Genomic DNA, 13,587 nt, shown 5'->3' on the forward strand with positions numbered 1-13,587 from the left:
GCAGTGGTAGTAGCAGTTGTTGTTGTTATTTCAGGGGCTGGGCTTCTGAGGCCTTCTTGTCTCAGACCTGGGCTCCCACGAAAACAGGTCCAGTGACTGTGTCCAAGAGTGACCTCAAGGCTGGGTCCAGCTTTACATGGGTTGTGGGCAGGTGGCCTGATGCTCTGGCCTCAGGCGAGCTGCAACTTGGATCCCTACTGACTCAGCTGAAGCAGCCTGGGCTGGACCAGTCTCTGGAGGTTCCCCGGGGCCAGAGCCAGGACTCAGCCCCCAGTGACTCCCACCCCCATCCCCCAGCACAGGAATGGGGTGGGGAGGTAGGGGCAGAGAGGGAAGCCAGGGCTGCTGCTGACCTTGGGAAACCCAGACTTCTCCCGTCAATCCAGGCTCCACCCTCTGGCCCCACTTTTTTCCCAGTTCCCTCCAAGGCAGGCTGATGAGTCAGTGCTGGGTGGATGGCTCACAGGGAAAAGTTCCTGTTGGCATGGACGGGGAGACCCCAGACACAGGGTTGAGAAGGGATGATTTTCTGGCTGCCCTGAGGGAGCTCCTAGGTGGGCTGCCCAAGGCTGGCATGACATCAGCCTCTGCCCTCCCTAATTTGTGGCCCCTGTGGGACAAGTTCACTGTCCAGCTGGCCCTGGCCCAGCTCAGCAGGCATGCAGCTGAGTGCTCTTCCCTCCTTCTGTCACCTTCAGGCCAGTCTTCCTCTCTCTGACTTGGGCTGAGCCTGGATGGGAGGCTGAGAAAATCCAGTTTCCATGCCAAGAGGCAGCAGGTCACAGCCCATGCTTCGAGATTAGAAGGGGTCCCTCTCAGTGTCCAGCCTCATGTAGCTGGGCTAGGAGCTAGGTTGGATCTGTGTGACTCCTTCCTCTGGAGGTATGGGCCAGGAGCGGCTGAGCCCTGGGAGCAGCCATATGCAGTATGTGTTTGTATCCAGAAGGAGGAGGGACATGGGAGGAGGGGCTGTGATGAGGGGTGCTCAGAGGAGCCTGCTCCTGAGAAGCAGAGCCACGCACCCACCTCGGGGGTTTCTGAGCTGGGGTAGTGGCAGGAGGGGAATTCCAGCCTCAAACTTCCTGTCTCAGCTGCTACTCGGTTCCTGCCCGGCCACCCCCCCTCCCCAGGGGCAGGCGGGCTAGCCCCCCCATCATATGCAAATCATGGGGAAATTCACCTCTGTTTCCTTCTAAGGGAATTTTTTTCCACTCGCCAGGCCCAGCCCAGGCATATCTTTTCACCTGGGGAGGCTGGCCCAGCCCTGCCTTCTGTCCTGGGGCAGGAGCAGCCTAGCTGGAGTCTTCTACACACACATCCTATCAGTGTCTGCTTAGCCCGGCTGGGGGACCCTGACCTTACAGGCAAAGAGAACTGGAATGGGGGCAGGGATGTCTGGTTTTCCTGTGCCAGCAGCGCTTCCTCCAGTGCAGTGAAAGAGACTAAAGCTAGCTGTAGGGGGGCACTCCAGGCCTCATGTGCTCTACCAGGAGGAGGGCTCTGATAGCGCCCACTGATCAGTTTTTCCATCTGCTGAGGGAATATTCAGGTGCTAGGGCTGCTGAGAACCGACTTGTCCCAGCCAAGATTTTCAGTGCCCACAGGCAGTGCACTGCCCTGAGAGCCCTGGCATCCCATTAGTTCCCAGTGCTCCAAGATACTAGCCTAGGATCATGTGCCCGGAGGGAGGCAGGTGGGCGGATACATGCGCACACTGCATACCTGAGACAAGGAGCCAGGCCTGGGATGACCCAGCTGCCATGGTTTTGAGAGGCAGGCCAGAAGGCCCAAGGAAGGGGGGTGATGTGATGGGGGAAGCACTGGGCATTGTGAAGACACAGACCAGGGACCTGACCTATTGTGGCAGGTCAGGGAAGGCTTCTCAGAGGCAGTGACATCTCACAAGGGTTCTGAAGGAAGAGCAGGAGTTTGCCAGCAGCATTGTTTCTCCCGTTCGCCACCTGTCTCTCATAACACACTTTGTTCAAACTCAATTTTGGGAGCTTTGTTCTCCCAAATAAATTCTGGATCTTCTGTTAGAGACAGGAAGGCAACCGAGTGGCCCAGACCTGGGTTCGAGTTCTGACTGTCTCTTACCACTAGCCAGGTGACCTTCCTTTCCTTCACGGTAGCAAGCCCTATAAGAATGAAGCCATATATCTGGCCACCAGCGGGAGCTCAGTGCCTGCGAATCCCTGCTCATTCCCTGCGATCAGGGTCTGTGCCTGCCTTCGTACCTGCCTGAGCATTGACGTACAGGGTAGTGATAAGCATAGGCCCTGGGCTTGCGTCTCTCTTCCACCGTTAACTGCTGTGTGACCCTGGTGACTAAGCTGCCTTCTCTGGACCACAGTTTTCATCTGAAAAACAGGGAAGGAGTTGATGATGGTATAGTGCCCTCCTCACAAGCTTGCTGATGATTCAGTGTTAGACACTTATAACAGGGCCTGGTTCACAGCTCTCAGCAAATGGGAACTTTTATTATAAGCAGGCTGGCAGATGTGGCAGAGGGACCGGGAAGGATGAGTGCTGCCCTGGGCTGGACTTTGTCTCCCCTACAATTTAGAGACCTTCAGACCCTGGTGCCCCAGTCTTGCCCCCAAATAGCCTCCATGGCCCCCAGCTGCCCCACCTCCCTCCCTAGCTTCTCTTAGGGCTCCAGCTATCACCCCTTACCTCCCCCACTCCCATTAAAGACACCCACAGGATGTGGTTGGCCCTGGACTTGCCTCTTTTGCGTAACATTTATTCTGTTTTATTTGCCAAATACGAGAGTCTAAGCTGTTCACTGAGGGGGCAGTGAGACGTGGGGCTGCTGGTCCTAGGAGCTCTTCCATGACACCTAGTGTTACCTGGGAGCCCCAAGCCCCAGTCCCCCATCCCTCAGGAAATCCAGTTGGAACCCCTACTTTGCAGGGCCATCTTTGGCCTGAAGCCACCAGGAAAGCTGTCCCACTGACTGACCCCTCTTAAGGAAGCTGCAGACTGCTGGGCCCATTTTCAGATAGAGGAACGGAGAGCTGCGGCAGCCCAGGAGCCCTGCCAGGCTTCCTTCTGGGTGCAGCCACCTGTGGGTGGGGCGCGGCCTCGTCTGAGACCAAGGCAGGGCCCATGCCTTACTCAGCTGTCCTTGCTAAGAGTCCCCTAGCATCTTCCTGATGGTCTTTCTGCCTTGGGGTGAAGAGGCATTTGGGGGAATTGCCATCTTGGGAGGAAAAGCAGTATCCTTTCACTTTCAGACTGAAAGGCTCCTGGGGAACTTGCTTCACTCCGGCGCTTTCTGTCCCATGCTGAAGGCTGGAGTCGCCAGCCCCTTCCCCTTTGCCTTTCTCAGGCCCCAGTCCCTGAGGTGTGTGTGAGGACTGAACTTTAATCCGGAACAATCTGGTTTCTCCTCGGTCAGCCCAGCCGGTGCTTCCCCCGCCCCCACCCACGCTGCAAGAGGCGAGGGAGGGGTGGTGACTCAGTGTGCATGTGTACATCTGTCCCTGTGGTCCCGGCAGCTCGCCGGGTGGGGCAGGAACCAGAAGTCTCGCGGCACCTTTCCCCCACCCCCAGGTGTGTTGCAAGTGGCCTGGCCCTCCCCCACCGTGGGGAGCAGTGCTGCCAGCTTCCTGGGCGCTTCCTCACTTTCAGGAGATGGAGCCTCAGGGAAAGTCCCAGCGGGGCCTGGCCATCCTGGAGCTGTGGGAACTGGCACTGGGAATGGAGGCCTTGGCCTTGGGCCCCACCTGCAGAGGGCCAGGGCCTGAGCCCTGGGGAAAGGGGAAGGGGCTGGTGACTCCAAAGGGGAAGGGACTGCTCACTACCACCACCAAAGCCAGGGCAGGGGTGGGGTGTGACCACCTCCCTCCTCCTGCTCAGGCCTAGGGGGTGGCAGGCTGGCCATCAGTGTGGGCTAACCCTGTCCTCTCCCTCCCAGCCATGGGAACAAGGAGGTCTTCTCCTGCCGGGGCATCCTGCTGGCAGTGAACTGGTTTCTGGAGCGGGGCCACACAGACATCACAGTGTTTGTGCCATCCTGGAGGAAGGAGCAGCCTCGGCCCGACGTGCCCATCACAGGTGAGTGGTGCCTCTGGAGGTGGGATGGTCTTACTGCCCCAGCAGCCCTGGTTCTCCCCAAGAGAGACCCTCTGGGAGTGACCTACAACTTCTAGAACTCAAGCAGGGACCAGCATTTCTTTTCTCAGTTTTTTCTGTCCTTAGCAACCTGCTCTGAATGGTGGTCATTGGAGGTCACCTTGTCCAGTCTTCTGCCTCAGATCTGGAGCCCCTCCCTCATCCTACTGGTGGGCAGGTCGCTCTTTCAACATCCCCAGTGGCAGAAGCGCAGTATCACATAGTGGTTAAGCCTGTGGGCTCTGAGTCGAGACAGCCAGAGTTGGAATCCTGGCTCTGTCCCCTCTTGGCGCCCTGGCCTGGACAGGGACCCCTCTTAGCCCTGCTCTGAGCCACATGCTCCTCATCTGAAACATGGGGTCGGTGTCAGCAGGGGGTGTTGACAGCATTGCCTTCCTCGTGAGGTCATATAAGTTAACACACGGTAAGTGCTGAGAAGAGTACCTGGCACATGGTAGATGCTCAGTGTATGTTAGCTGTTACCACTGTTCTTGCAAGAGCCCCCAGCCTTTGGAGGTAAAAACTGAATCAGTTTCTCTAGAAGTCTTGAGATCTGGGGGCAGCCTGTCTGGGACTGTAGGCTCCAGGAAGAGGGGCCCTTTCCACTTGCACACTTCTGTGTCCCTGTGGTCCCAGCAGCTCCCCAGGTGGGGCATGGTGAGTGGCCTGACCTTTTCCCACCATGGGATTTAGCGACCTTGTCCTGGCAATGCAAGGGACAGAGCCAAGATACTTCTCCCACCCCAGAGCAAGCTGCGGCTCATTCACGGACCCCTCAGAACAGGCTGGATGAAAGCCAAAGCCAAGACCACATCTGGCTTGAACAGGCCTGATGTCCAGAAGGAGAAAAGGAACAAGGCCAGCTCTGTGCTTGGAGCCTCTGCCATGCAGGCCCTGCCGCCTGTGTTCAGATGTTCTTGGTCTTCAGGCAGCAAACTGTGCCACGCCAAGGGAGGGGCTGGGGCATGGAAGAGGCCTCAGCAGAGTTAGTTCTTGCCCCGGTGACCTTGGCGTTAACCACTCCTGTGTGTGGCCATCAGCAGGTTAGGGAGCCCTGTAGGCCTGGCTCTAGGTCCCGCTGGGCCCTGACCTGTGTGCACCCGTCACCTCCCAGACCAGCACATCCTGCGGGAACTGGAGAAGAAGAAGATCCTGGTGTTCACACCATCACGACGCGTGGGTGGCAAGCGGGTGGTGTGCTATGACGACAGATTCATTGTGAAGCTGGCCTACGAGTCTGACGGGATCGTGGTTTCCAACGACACATACCGTGACCTCCAAGGCGAGCGGCAGGAGTGGAAGCGCTTCATCGAGGAGCGGCTGCTCATGTACTCCTTCGTCAATGACAAGTATGTTCCCTCCCAGAGGCCCTGACAGACTTGGGGTCCACAGGGGAAGCCAGAGGTGCCCTTGGCAAGGGTGGAGCTGGGGGCTGGGCTCTGCGGGGCCCTGTGGCCATGGGAGGTTGCGGGTCTTGGCTCCAGGCAGCTTTGAGAGTGAGACGGATAGCTCACCACATAGGAGAAATCAGACCGGGACCAGGCAGGCTGTGGGGTGGAGAGAGTGGCTAATTTGGGAGATAGAGCCGTAGCACTTATGAGGGGATGTATGTGGTTGATGGTTCCAGGTGGCCTCTCTACGAACCAACATGGCATCTCTCGAGCAGAGGCCATGGGCCAGTGGGTGCGGGCTGCCATCCCCCGACGACCTCAGAGAGGGAGTTCCCCTAAAGGTGCCCATGGGCTGTGGCCCTCTAGACCGGGGATCCCTTTCTCCTCCCTTGGTATGATCCCACCCATAGAGCAGTTTTGCGGGGTCCTGGACAGGCCCCAGTTTTAGGTGTCACTCTCCTATTCTTCCCAGCAAGGCTTGCCATCGGCCCCTTCTCAGCAATTAGAAGTCCCTGCATGGCTCCCACCTCCAGAGAGTTCTTTGCACCCTCTGCAGGTTTATGCCCCCTGATGACCCACTGGGCCGGCACGGGCCCAGCCTGGACAACTTCCTGCGTAAGAAGCCACTCACTTTGGAGCACAGGAAGCAGCCGTGTCCCTATGGTATGGAACCCAGCCTGCCCTCCCCGGCCCTCCTCACTCCTGCCCTTCCTCTCACCTGTCTGCCTGTGCCCTGTTTTCCTCTTGGGGACCTCCACCATTGGACCACCCAACCCCGTTTCCTGTGCCACCCCTTCCCTGCTCTCATCCCTGGTTCTGAAGTGCCCCTGCTTAGAGTCCCTCTTGATTCCTCTTCCAGGAAGGAAATGCACCTATGGGATCAAGTGCCGATTCTTCCACCCAGAGCGGCCAAGCTGCCCCCAGCGCTCTGTGGCAGATGAGCTCCGTGCCAATGCTCTCCTCTCACCCCCCAGAGCCCCAAGCAAGGACAAAAATGGCCGGCGGCCTTCACCTTCATCCCAGTCCAGCTCTCTGCTAACAGAGAGTGAGCAGTGCAGCCTGGATGGGAAGAAGCTGGGGGCCCAGGCATCCCCAGGGTCCCGCCAAGAGGGTCTAACACAGACCTATGCCCCATCAGGCAGGAGCCTCGCACCTAGCGGGGGCAGTGGCAGCAGCTTTGGGCCCACAGACTGGCTCCCACAGACGCTGGACTCACTCCCGTACGTCTCCCAGGATTGCCTGGACTCGGGCATTGGCTCCCTGGAGAGCCAGATGTCGGAACTTTGGGGGGTTCGAGGAGGAGGCCCTGGTGAGCCGGGCCCACCCCGAGCCCCTTACACGGGCTACAGTCCCTATGGATCTGAGCTCCCAGCCACCGCAGCCTTCTCTGCCTTTGGCCGGGCCATGGGTGCTGGCCACTTCAGTGTCCCTGCCGACTACCCACCCGCGCCCCCTGCCTTTCCACCTCGAGAGTACTGGTCTGAACCATACCCACTGCCCCCACCCACATCAGTCCTTCAGGAGCCCCCAGTGCAGAGCCCAGGGGCTGGCAGGAGCCCGTGGGGCAGGGCAGGCAGCCTGGCCAAGGAGCAGGCCAGCGTGTATACTAAGCTGTGTGGTGTGTTTCCCCCGCACCTGGTGGAGGCTGTGATGGGGCGCTTCCCACAGCTCCTGGACCCCCAGCAGCTGGCTGCCGAGATCCTCTCCTACAAGTCCCAGCACCCCAGTGAGTAAGCTGCCTGTGGCTGGCAAGGGCAGCACCCCCAGCCTCCAAGGGCCGTCAGGCTGGGCTTTGGGCCATTGAGCAGCCCATTCCCAGCCCTGAGGCCCACCCCAGAGGCTGGACAGAGGGAGGATTCAAGTCGGGAAGGAAACCCACAAACCAAAGATACTGTAGGATTGGTTCTGGCCCATGCAGCACCTCTAGCTGTCTGCCTCAGTGGGTCAGAAGCGATCACCCTGTTGATACACATTGTATCTCTGTAGTTTAAGGAGACGCTGCCGGTAACGGCGTCGGTCCGTGGCTGAGGCCCAAACCGTCTTTTCTCTCAGAGGGTGGGGAGGGAGGTGGGGGCAGCAGAGGCCTGGGCTGGGTGCCCTGTGCACGCCACCCCACTTCCGCCCTACCCCTGGGACGTTGGCCTTGGCTGGCTAGTTGGGCACCGTGTGCCTGCCCTCCAAGGGCCTCCTCTACGCCAATGAGGCCTCATCTGTGCTCTCGCTGGGCACGTGGCTTCATGTCAGTAAGCAAGATGCTTCTTAATAACCCACCTTCTGCCCCACTCTATTCCTTATCCTGCTGCCCCTGTAGGGGTCAAGGGCCCTCCGTCTACACCCTCTTCTTCTCCTCCATCCTTTATTCAGAGTCATCTCGCCCTTCCCCATGGGTGGGGGAACCTGTGTTTGTTTGTGTGCACATGTAAATTTTAAATATTTTAAGCAGAAAGTCCTTACCTCCTGTAACACATCAATAAAGTACAATCATTGTGAGCCCTTTCAAGAGGTGATTGTCTTTGTTATGCTCAGGGCTTTGGGCTGGCCTCTGGGTGAGGAAAGGCCAGCAGGTATGCACCCCGACCTCCTTCACCCCAGGAGGAAGCCCCTCCACACCAGCTCCCTGACCCTTCTCTGGAAGGAAGATTTCTAACAAACATTCACCAGGAATGCATAGCTCCTTGGGGATGGGGCATCTTTCCCGAGGCCTTGGTCTGGGCCTTGTTAGGAGGTGCCCATGGACGCACGAGCGGGCAGGGGGCTGGAGGGGGCAGTTAGGCAGCAAAAGTGTAAAAGGATTTGGAGTCCAGTTTTATCTGCAAAAAGAAATCTTACTTACAATATACTTGGGCTTCTGTTTGTTTTTGTGGGACAGGAAGCTAAAATACCAGACTGTCCAGTTCATTATCAGCCACTTGGCAATGCTGAATGACTTGCCCAAGGTCCCGCAGAGGAAGGACAGACTGGGGCAGGGCCTTGAGTCCTGGTTCTGGTCCCCAAACCAGGGGGGCAGGAGGGGTGGGCCTGGACACTAGTTTGCAGCAACTCAGGGCCCTGCAGGGATGGGGGAGGTGAAGGTACCCTCAGCCCCACACCTCACAACTCTCCTAGGTTTCAACATCCACATAGGAATCCTTCCAGGCCAGGCATGCTGGCTCACGCCTGTAATCCCAACACTTGGAAGGCCAAGGTGGGCAGATTGCTTGAGCTCAGGAGTTCGAGACCAGCCTGGCCAACATAGGGAAAGCCTATCTCTACAAAAAATACAAAATTGGCTGGGTGTGGTGGCATACACCTGTACCTGTAGTCCCAGCTACTTGGGCTACGGTAGGAGGATCACCTGAACCTCAGGAGGTGGAGACTGCAGTGAGCCATGATTGCACCATTGTGCTCCAGCCTGGGTGACAAAGTGAGACCCTGTCTCAAAAAAAAAAAAAAGGAATCCCTCCAGCATGGCAGCTGAAAGGACCACCCTACCCACCTGGTCAGCAGCAGATGCCCAGCAACCCCACCTGCCAAGCCCCCGCTGTCTCTGCACACCACAGTGGAGCCTTGAGGCTGCCTGGAAAAAATAGGGAATGTTCTCACCCCTCTTCCCATCCCAGCTGCCAGCTGGCCACAGCCTTGGGAGTTCATACTTGCTTACTTGCTTCTTGACCAGAGCTGAACTCTAAGCCATTTGCTGCTTCTGCTGTGTGTGGGGAGGGATGGGCAGTGGGCAGCAGGTCCTGACTGGCTGTGCCGTGTCTGGAGGCCAAGTCTGGCCCTGCTGGTTCACTGATAAGCCCCGGCAAGGGTGGCAGAGCTCATGTGGCAGGTGCCTGAGGGGCTGGGATCTAGGGAGGACTGGTCAGTTCCATGCCCCGCTGGCCTGAGCTTGCATCCTGTGCTTTCCAGGCAGGCTTAGATGCCCCTTCAGGCCTCTTTCTCAGTCTGCCAGGCAGAGTGACTCCGAGGCTACCAGGCCCAGTGCCCCAGCTGTGTTTCTTTCCCACGAATTGGGCTTTAACTCCAAAGTTCTCCCCATCACCTCCTGCTCCACTGCCCATTCAAGCAGCTTAGGTAGGTGGTATTTGCTCACAGGGCCTCAGTCTCCCCACCTGTAAAAGGGACACAATGGTCCTTGCCTCTTTCTAGATTTGAGAGAATAACTCAGTTCCTGTGAAAGGAGGAGAGGGAGGGGTCCTGGATTCAAGCCCCCATCACTAGCGATGCAGCCCTGGGCAACCCACTTCCCTCTCAGAGCCTCAGCTTCCTGCCTCTTCAGAGGCAGCTTCCCTCTGAGAGGGGGACAGGGATGGAATGTGACTCCTGCATGCTGGAAAAGATCAAATTCTGGGGAGCTGCCCCAGTTGCTCTTTCCTCCTCTTGTTTTCCTGGTTCCAGGAGCCAGAAGCTGATGAGGAAACCAGTAAGTATGCAAATTCTGGCACTATTGGGAAATGATCCTGGGGAGCTCACAGAGGACAGCCTCCCACCTGCCCTCCCCCACCCCCCCACAGGCCCCCCAACCTTGCCCTTGGGCTCTCACCAGCAGGGGCCGAACCCTGAGTTTTATTGCGAGTTCTGTCTCGCACACATGGGTTAACCCCTCTTGGAGTGAAGCCAGGGTGACTATGGCCAATCTGTCCTCAGAAAACCTCCAGCCTCCCTAGCAGAGAGCAAACGAGCCCACAATGGGATGAAAGATCCCTGCTCTGGATGTCTCAGCCCAGTCCCCATCCCACTTCTCTAGAGTGGGGGAAACTCAGGAGTCCCCAAAGACCTGGGACCTAAGCTAGGAGCAGAACTTTAGAGGTCCGGGGGAGCAGCTCTCCAATCCCCCCATCCCCGCCAGTGCTGCTCACACCCCCCTCGTTGTAGTCTCCTGCAGGGGGGGACAGGTGGTGTCTGGGAAGGGGCCAGTACTCCTCACCGCAGCTGCCACTTCCCTCATCTTCCCCCAGCAAAGCTCTCAGCCCTCCCTTCCCCATGCCTCCTGGAAAAGCCAGCATTTGTCTTCTGTACACAGAAGGGAAAGACCCTAGCCCTGAGGGAGGTGCTGGGCAGGCCTCTACCAAGACAAGAGTGAGTGAGCAGCAGAGAAAGTGGGACTTGGGGGGCACATATCTCTAGGAGCTGCAGGGAAGGAAGTGGTGCAATCAGCCTCAGCCCTGGGCCCAGCTGGTCCCTAGAGGACGCTTCCCCAAAAGAAGGCAGCCCAAGGACCCTAGCACTTTTGTCCCAGGGCTTCTCAAACTTCTGGCTTTTTTTTTTTCTTGGACCATAGCAGAGTGGGTGGAGTAGAGGGTGGCAAGGGCCTGTTCTGGGGACCTCCCAGTTCATGGGAAGGGTGTGGGAGATTTGCCTGAAAGAGGCAGGAAGTAGGGCCCTACAACTAAGGAAACCCAAGCCATCCCAGGCCATGGCATGTAAATCCTTCCAGCTAGTTCCTGAAGGGGAAGAGGCCCTAGGCTGTCATCCTGAGGTGTGGCCTTGTTAAGCTCCTCTCAAGGCAGCTGCTCGTGATCTTCAACTGCTCATCCATTTAAGAGATGTCAGCAAAACGAGGTGGGAGGAAAGGATCAGGCGCCCCACCCCACACTAAGTTGGGCACATTGCTGGGAGGTCAAGTCACTGGGAATGGTGCAAAGGCTCTAATTCTGGCTGCTCGTGGGCTGCTTGTGGGGCCGTGCCTGCCACCTGCCGGTGCTTCCTGGTACTGCTACCCATGGAGCAGGGGCCTGCCCACCAGCTCTGGCCTGGAAATGAAGGGCCTAGACACAAAGATCTTCCAGCAGGATCTGAAAACAATAATTTAAGGAGAATAACATGGGAAGTAAAGTGCTAAGCCAAAAACAGGGAATTCTTAATGGCATTTGCAGCTCCGCCCTGGAAAGAAACACCAGAGGTCACTGTCATGCCTTCTACAAAGTCTAAAGCTCTAGAAACTTTCAACTGTTCCAGGTAACAAATATCCCAAGAAAAACTCTCAGGAACTGAAGGAATAAAAAGGAAAGGAGAAAAAAATATAAACATTCTTTTTTTTTCGAGACAGGGCCTTACTCCGTCTTCCGGGCTGGAGTGCAGTGGCACAATCACAGCTCACTGCAGCCTCAACTTCCCGGGCTCAGGTGATTCCCCCACCTCAGCCTCCCGAGTAGCTGGCACTACAGGCATGTGCCACTATGCCTGGGTAATTTTTTGGTATTTTTGTAGAGATGGGGTTTCACCAAGTTACTCAGGCTGGTCTTGAACTCCTGGGTTCAAAGCAAATCCAACCACCACAGCCTCCCAAGGTGCTGGGATTTTATAGTCATGAGCCAACACACCCAGCTATTTTTTTATGTTTGTTGTTTTTTTCAAGGAATCTTTTTTTAGAGACAAAGTCACTCTGTCACCCAGACTGGAGTGCAGTGGCATGACCACAGCTAACTGCTGCCTCGACTTCCAGGGCTTAAGTGATCCTCCCACACCACAACACCTGGCTAATTTATTTTTTGTAGAAACAGGGTCTTACTTTGTTGCCCAGGCTAGTCTTGAACTCCTGGGCTCAAGCGATCCTCCCATCATGGCCTCCCACCATCCTCCTGCCTTGGCCTCCCAAAGTGCTGGGATTACAGGCATGAGCCAGCATGCCTGGCCTCACTGCTGAGAATTTACCCTACAAGTACTCTTACTTGCAAAATTATGCATCTAGGGCTATTTAATCTGACAGTGTCTGAAACAGCAAAAGATGGGAAACAATATTAATGCAATCAACAGAGGACTGATTAAGTAAACTTTGGTATACACACGCAACAGAATATAAAGTAGCCAATAAAAATAACGAGGCAGTTGTACACATGGAATGTTTTCTGTGCTAGACTGCTAGATGAAAAAAGCAAGGAGAGAACAGTATACACAGTATGCTACCATTTCTGTGAACAGACACATGCATGTGTGCCTACTGCTCATACACGTACAAAGGTCCTCAGGAAGGACATAATGGAACTCTGGGGTTGCCTCTGGGAAAGGAAACTGATAGCTGAGGGACAGGAGCACTTCCTTTACCCTGAATATACTTCAGTGCCATTTGAGCACATGCTATTTGCATGTTGCTACAGTCTGAATGTTTATGTATCCCCAAAATTCATAGGTTGAAATACTAACCCCCAAAGTGATGGAATTAAGAGAAGTGGCCTTGGGGTGCTTAAATTATGAGGACAGAATGCTCATAAATGGGATTAGTGTCCTTATAAAAGAGGCCTGAGGAGTCAGGTGTGGTGGCTCACGCCTGTAATCCCAGCACTTTGGGAGGCTGAGGCAGAAGGATGGCTTGAGCCCAGGAGTTTGAGACCAGACTGGGCAACAAAGTGAGACCCTGTCTCTAAAAAAATAAAAATAAATAAAAGAGCCCTGAGGCCTGGCATGATGGCTCACATCCAGAATCCCAGCACTTTGGGAGGCCAAGGCAAGGAGGGTCACTTCAGCCGAGTTCAAAACCAGACTTGGCAACATACCAAGACCCTGCCTACAAAACATTAAAAAAAAAACTAGCCAGGTGTGAGGGCACATACCTGTAGTCCCAGCTAATTGGGAGGCTGAGGTGAGAGGGTCACTTGAGCCTGGGAAGTTGAGGCTGCAGTGACCTGTGATTGCACCACTGCACCCTAGCCTGGGCAACAAAGTGAGATCACGTCTCAAAAAATTTTTTAAAAAGAGGCCTAAGGGAGCTTGTTCTTCCACCATGTGAGGACACAGCTAGAAGGCACCATCTGTGAACCAGAAAGCACACCTTCACCAGATACTGGATGTTGCTGGTGGCTTGATCTTGGACTTCCTAATCTCCAGAACTATAAGAAATGTTTGTTGTTTATAAGCCATTTAGTTAATATTTTTGTTATAGCAGCTCAAACAGACTAAGACACATGTATTCAAATTAATTAAATATTTTAAAGTCCTCCCATCCCCACACCCAGGATACAGAAATAAGTTATCAGGGTGGGGGTTGGGAGCTGAGGAGGGGGCTAGGGGTCTCCAAAGTTTATTTTCTGTACACAAACAGTAAAAACTTGAAGCATATACACCTCCAACATGTATATGCTGTTAAACTATGATAACT

General features: G+C 55.6%; 1 protein-coding gene and 1 non-coding gene across 8 annotated transcripts in view, besides 7 other annotated features; both read left to right on the forward strand.

The window, feature by feature from the left end:
• The window catches only part of ZC3H12A (zinc finger CCCH-type containing 12A), a 9,798-nt gene extending 1,788 nt beyond the window's left edge, over positions 1 to 8,010 (forward strand). For 2 of the 7 annotated variants that reach the window (XM_011542198.3, XM_047430885.1), the window contains exons 3-6: positions 3,923 to 4,062; positions 5,234 to 5,468; positions 5,987 to 6,173; positions 6,370 to 8,010. In XM_011542198.3, the coding sequence (XP_011540500.1) occupies positions 3,923 to 4,062; positions 5,234 to 5,468; positions 5,987 to 6,173; positions 6,370 to 6,549 (742 nt within the window). In that variant the 3' untranslated portion in view covers positions 6,550 to 8,010. Of the gene's footprint in view, positions 1 to 2,783; positions 3,559 to 3,922; positions 4,063 to 5,233; positions 5,469 to 5,982; positions 6,174 to 6,369 lie in introns of those variants that run through there. The other 5 variants (NM_025079.3, NM_001323550.2, XM_047430884.1 and 2 more) reach the window with 4 other exon arrangements.
• Positions 868 to 1,167: an enhancer, noted in NCBI's record as "active region_767". NCBI's record gives its function as "activates an Ori minimal core promoter by ATAC-STARR-seq in GM12878 lymphoblastoid cells {active_cell/tissue: GM12878}" and the evidence as "EXISTENCE:reporter gene assay evidence [ECO:0000049][PMID:35858748]".
• Positions 2,558 to 3,384: an enhancer, noted in NCBI's record as "H3K4me1 hESC enhancer chr1:37944526-37945352 (GRCh37/hg19 assembly coordinates)". NCBI's record gives its function as "activates a minimal SCP1, AML or CMV promoter by ChIP-STARR-seq in primed H9 embryonic stem cells {active_cell/tissue: H9 hESC(primed)}" and the evidence as "EXISTENCE:reporter gene assay evidence [ECO:0000049][PMID:30033119]".
• Positions 2,558 to 4,211: a biological region, named in NCBI's record as "H3K4me1 hESC enhancers GRCh37_chr1:37944526-37945352 and GRCh37_chr1:37945353-37946179".
• Positions 3,008 to 3,547: an enhancer, noted in NCBI's record as "active region_768". NCBI's record gives its function as "activates an Ori minimal core promoter by ATAC-STARR-seq in GM12878 lymphoblastoid cells {active_cell/tissue: GM12878}" and the evidence as "EXISTENCE:reporter gene assay evidence [ECO:0000049][PMID:35858748]".
• Positions 3,321 to 3,615: an enhancer, noted in NCBI's record as "tiled region #4732; HepG2 Activating DNase unmatched - State 1:Tss, and K562 Activating DNase matched - State 5:Enh". NCBI's record gives its function as "activates a minimal TATA promoter and a strong SV40 promoter by Sharpr-MPRA in HepG2 and K562 cells {active_cell/tissue: HepG2 | K562}" and the evidence as "EXISTENCE:reporter gene assay evidence [ECO:0000049][PMID:27701403]".
• Positions 3,385 to 4,211: an enhancer, noted in NCBI's record as "H3K4me1 hESC enhancer chr1:37945353-37946179 (GRCh37/hg19 assembly coordinates)". NCBI's record gives its function as "activates a minimal SCP1, AML or CMV promoter by ChIP-STARR-seq in primed H9 embryonic stem cells {active_cell/tissue: H9 hESC(primed)}" and the evidence as "EXISTENCE:reporter gene assay evidence [ECO:0000049][PMID:30033119]".
• MIR6732 (microRNA 6732) lies at positions 3,863 to 3,922 on the forward strand. The gene has a single exon (NR_106790.1). It is a non-coding gene; the product is annotated as a microRNA 6732 (primary transcript).
• Positions 7,971 to 8,100: an enhancer, noted in NCBI's record as "active region_769". NCBI's record gives its function as "activates an Ori minimal core promoter by ATAC-STARR-seq in GM12878 lymphoblastoid cells {active_cell/tissue: GM12878}" and the evidence as "EXISTENCE:reporter gene assay evidence [ECO:0000049][PMID:35858748]".

Source organism: Homo sapiens, chromosome 1 (genome assembly GCF_000001405.40).
Source record: "Homo sapiens chromosome 1, GRCh38.p14 Primary Assembly".
NCBI lineage: Eukaryota > Metazoa > Chordata > Mammalia > Primates > Hominidae > Homo > Homo sapiens.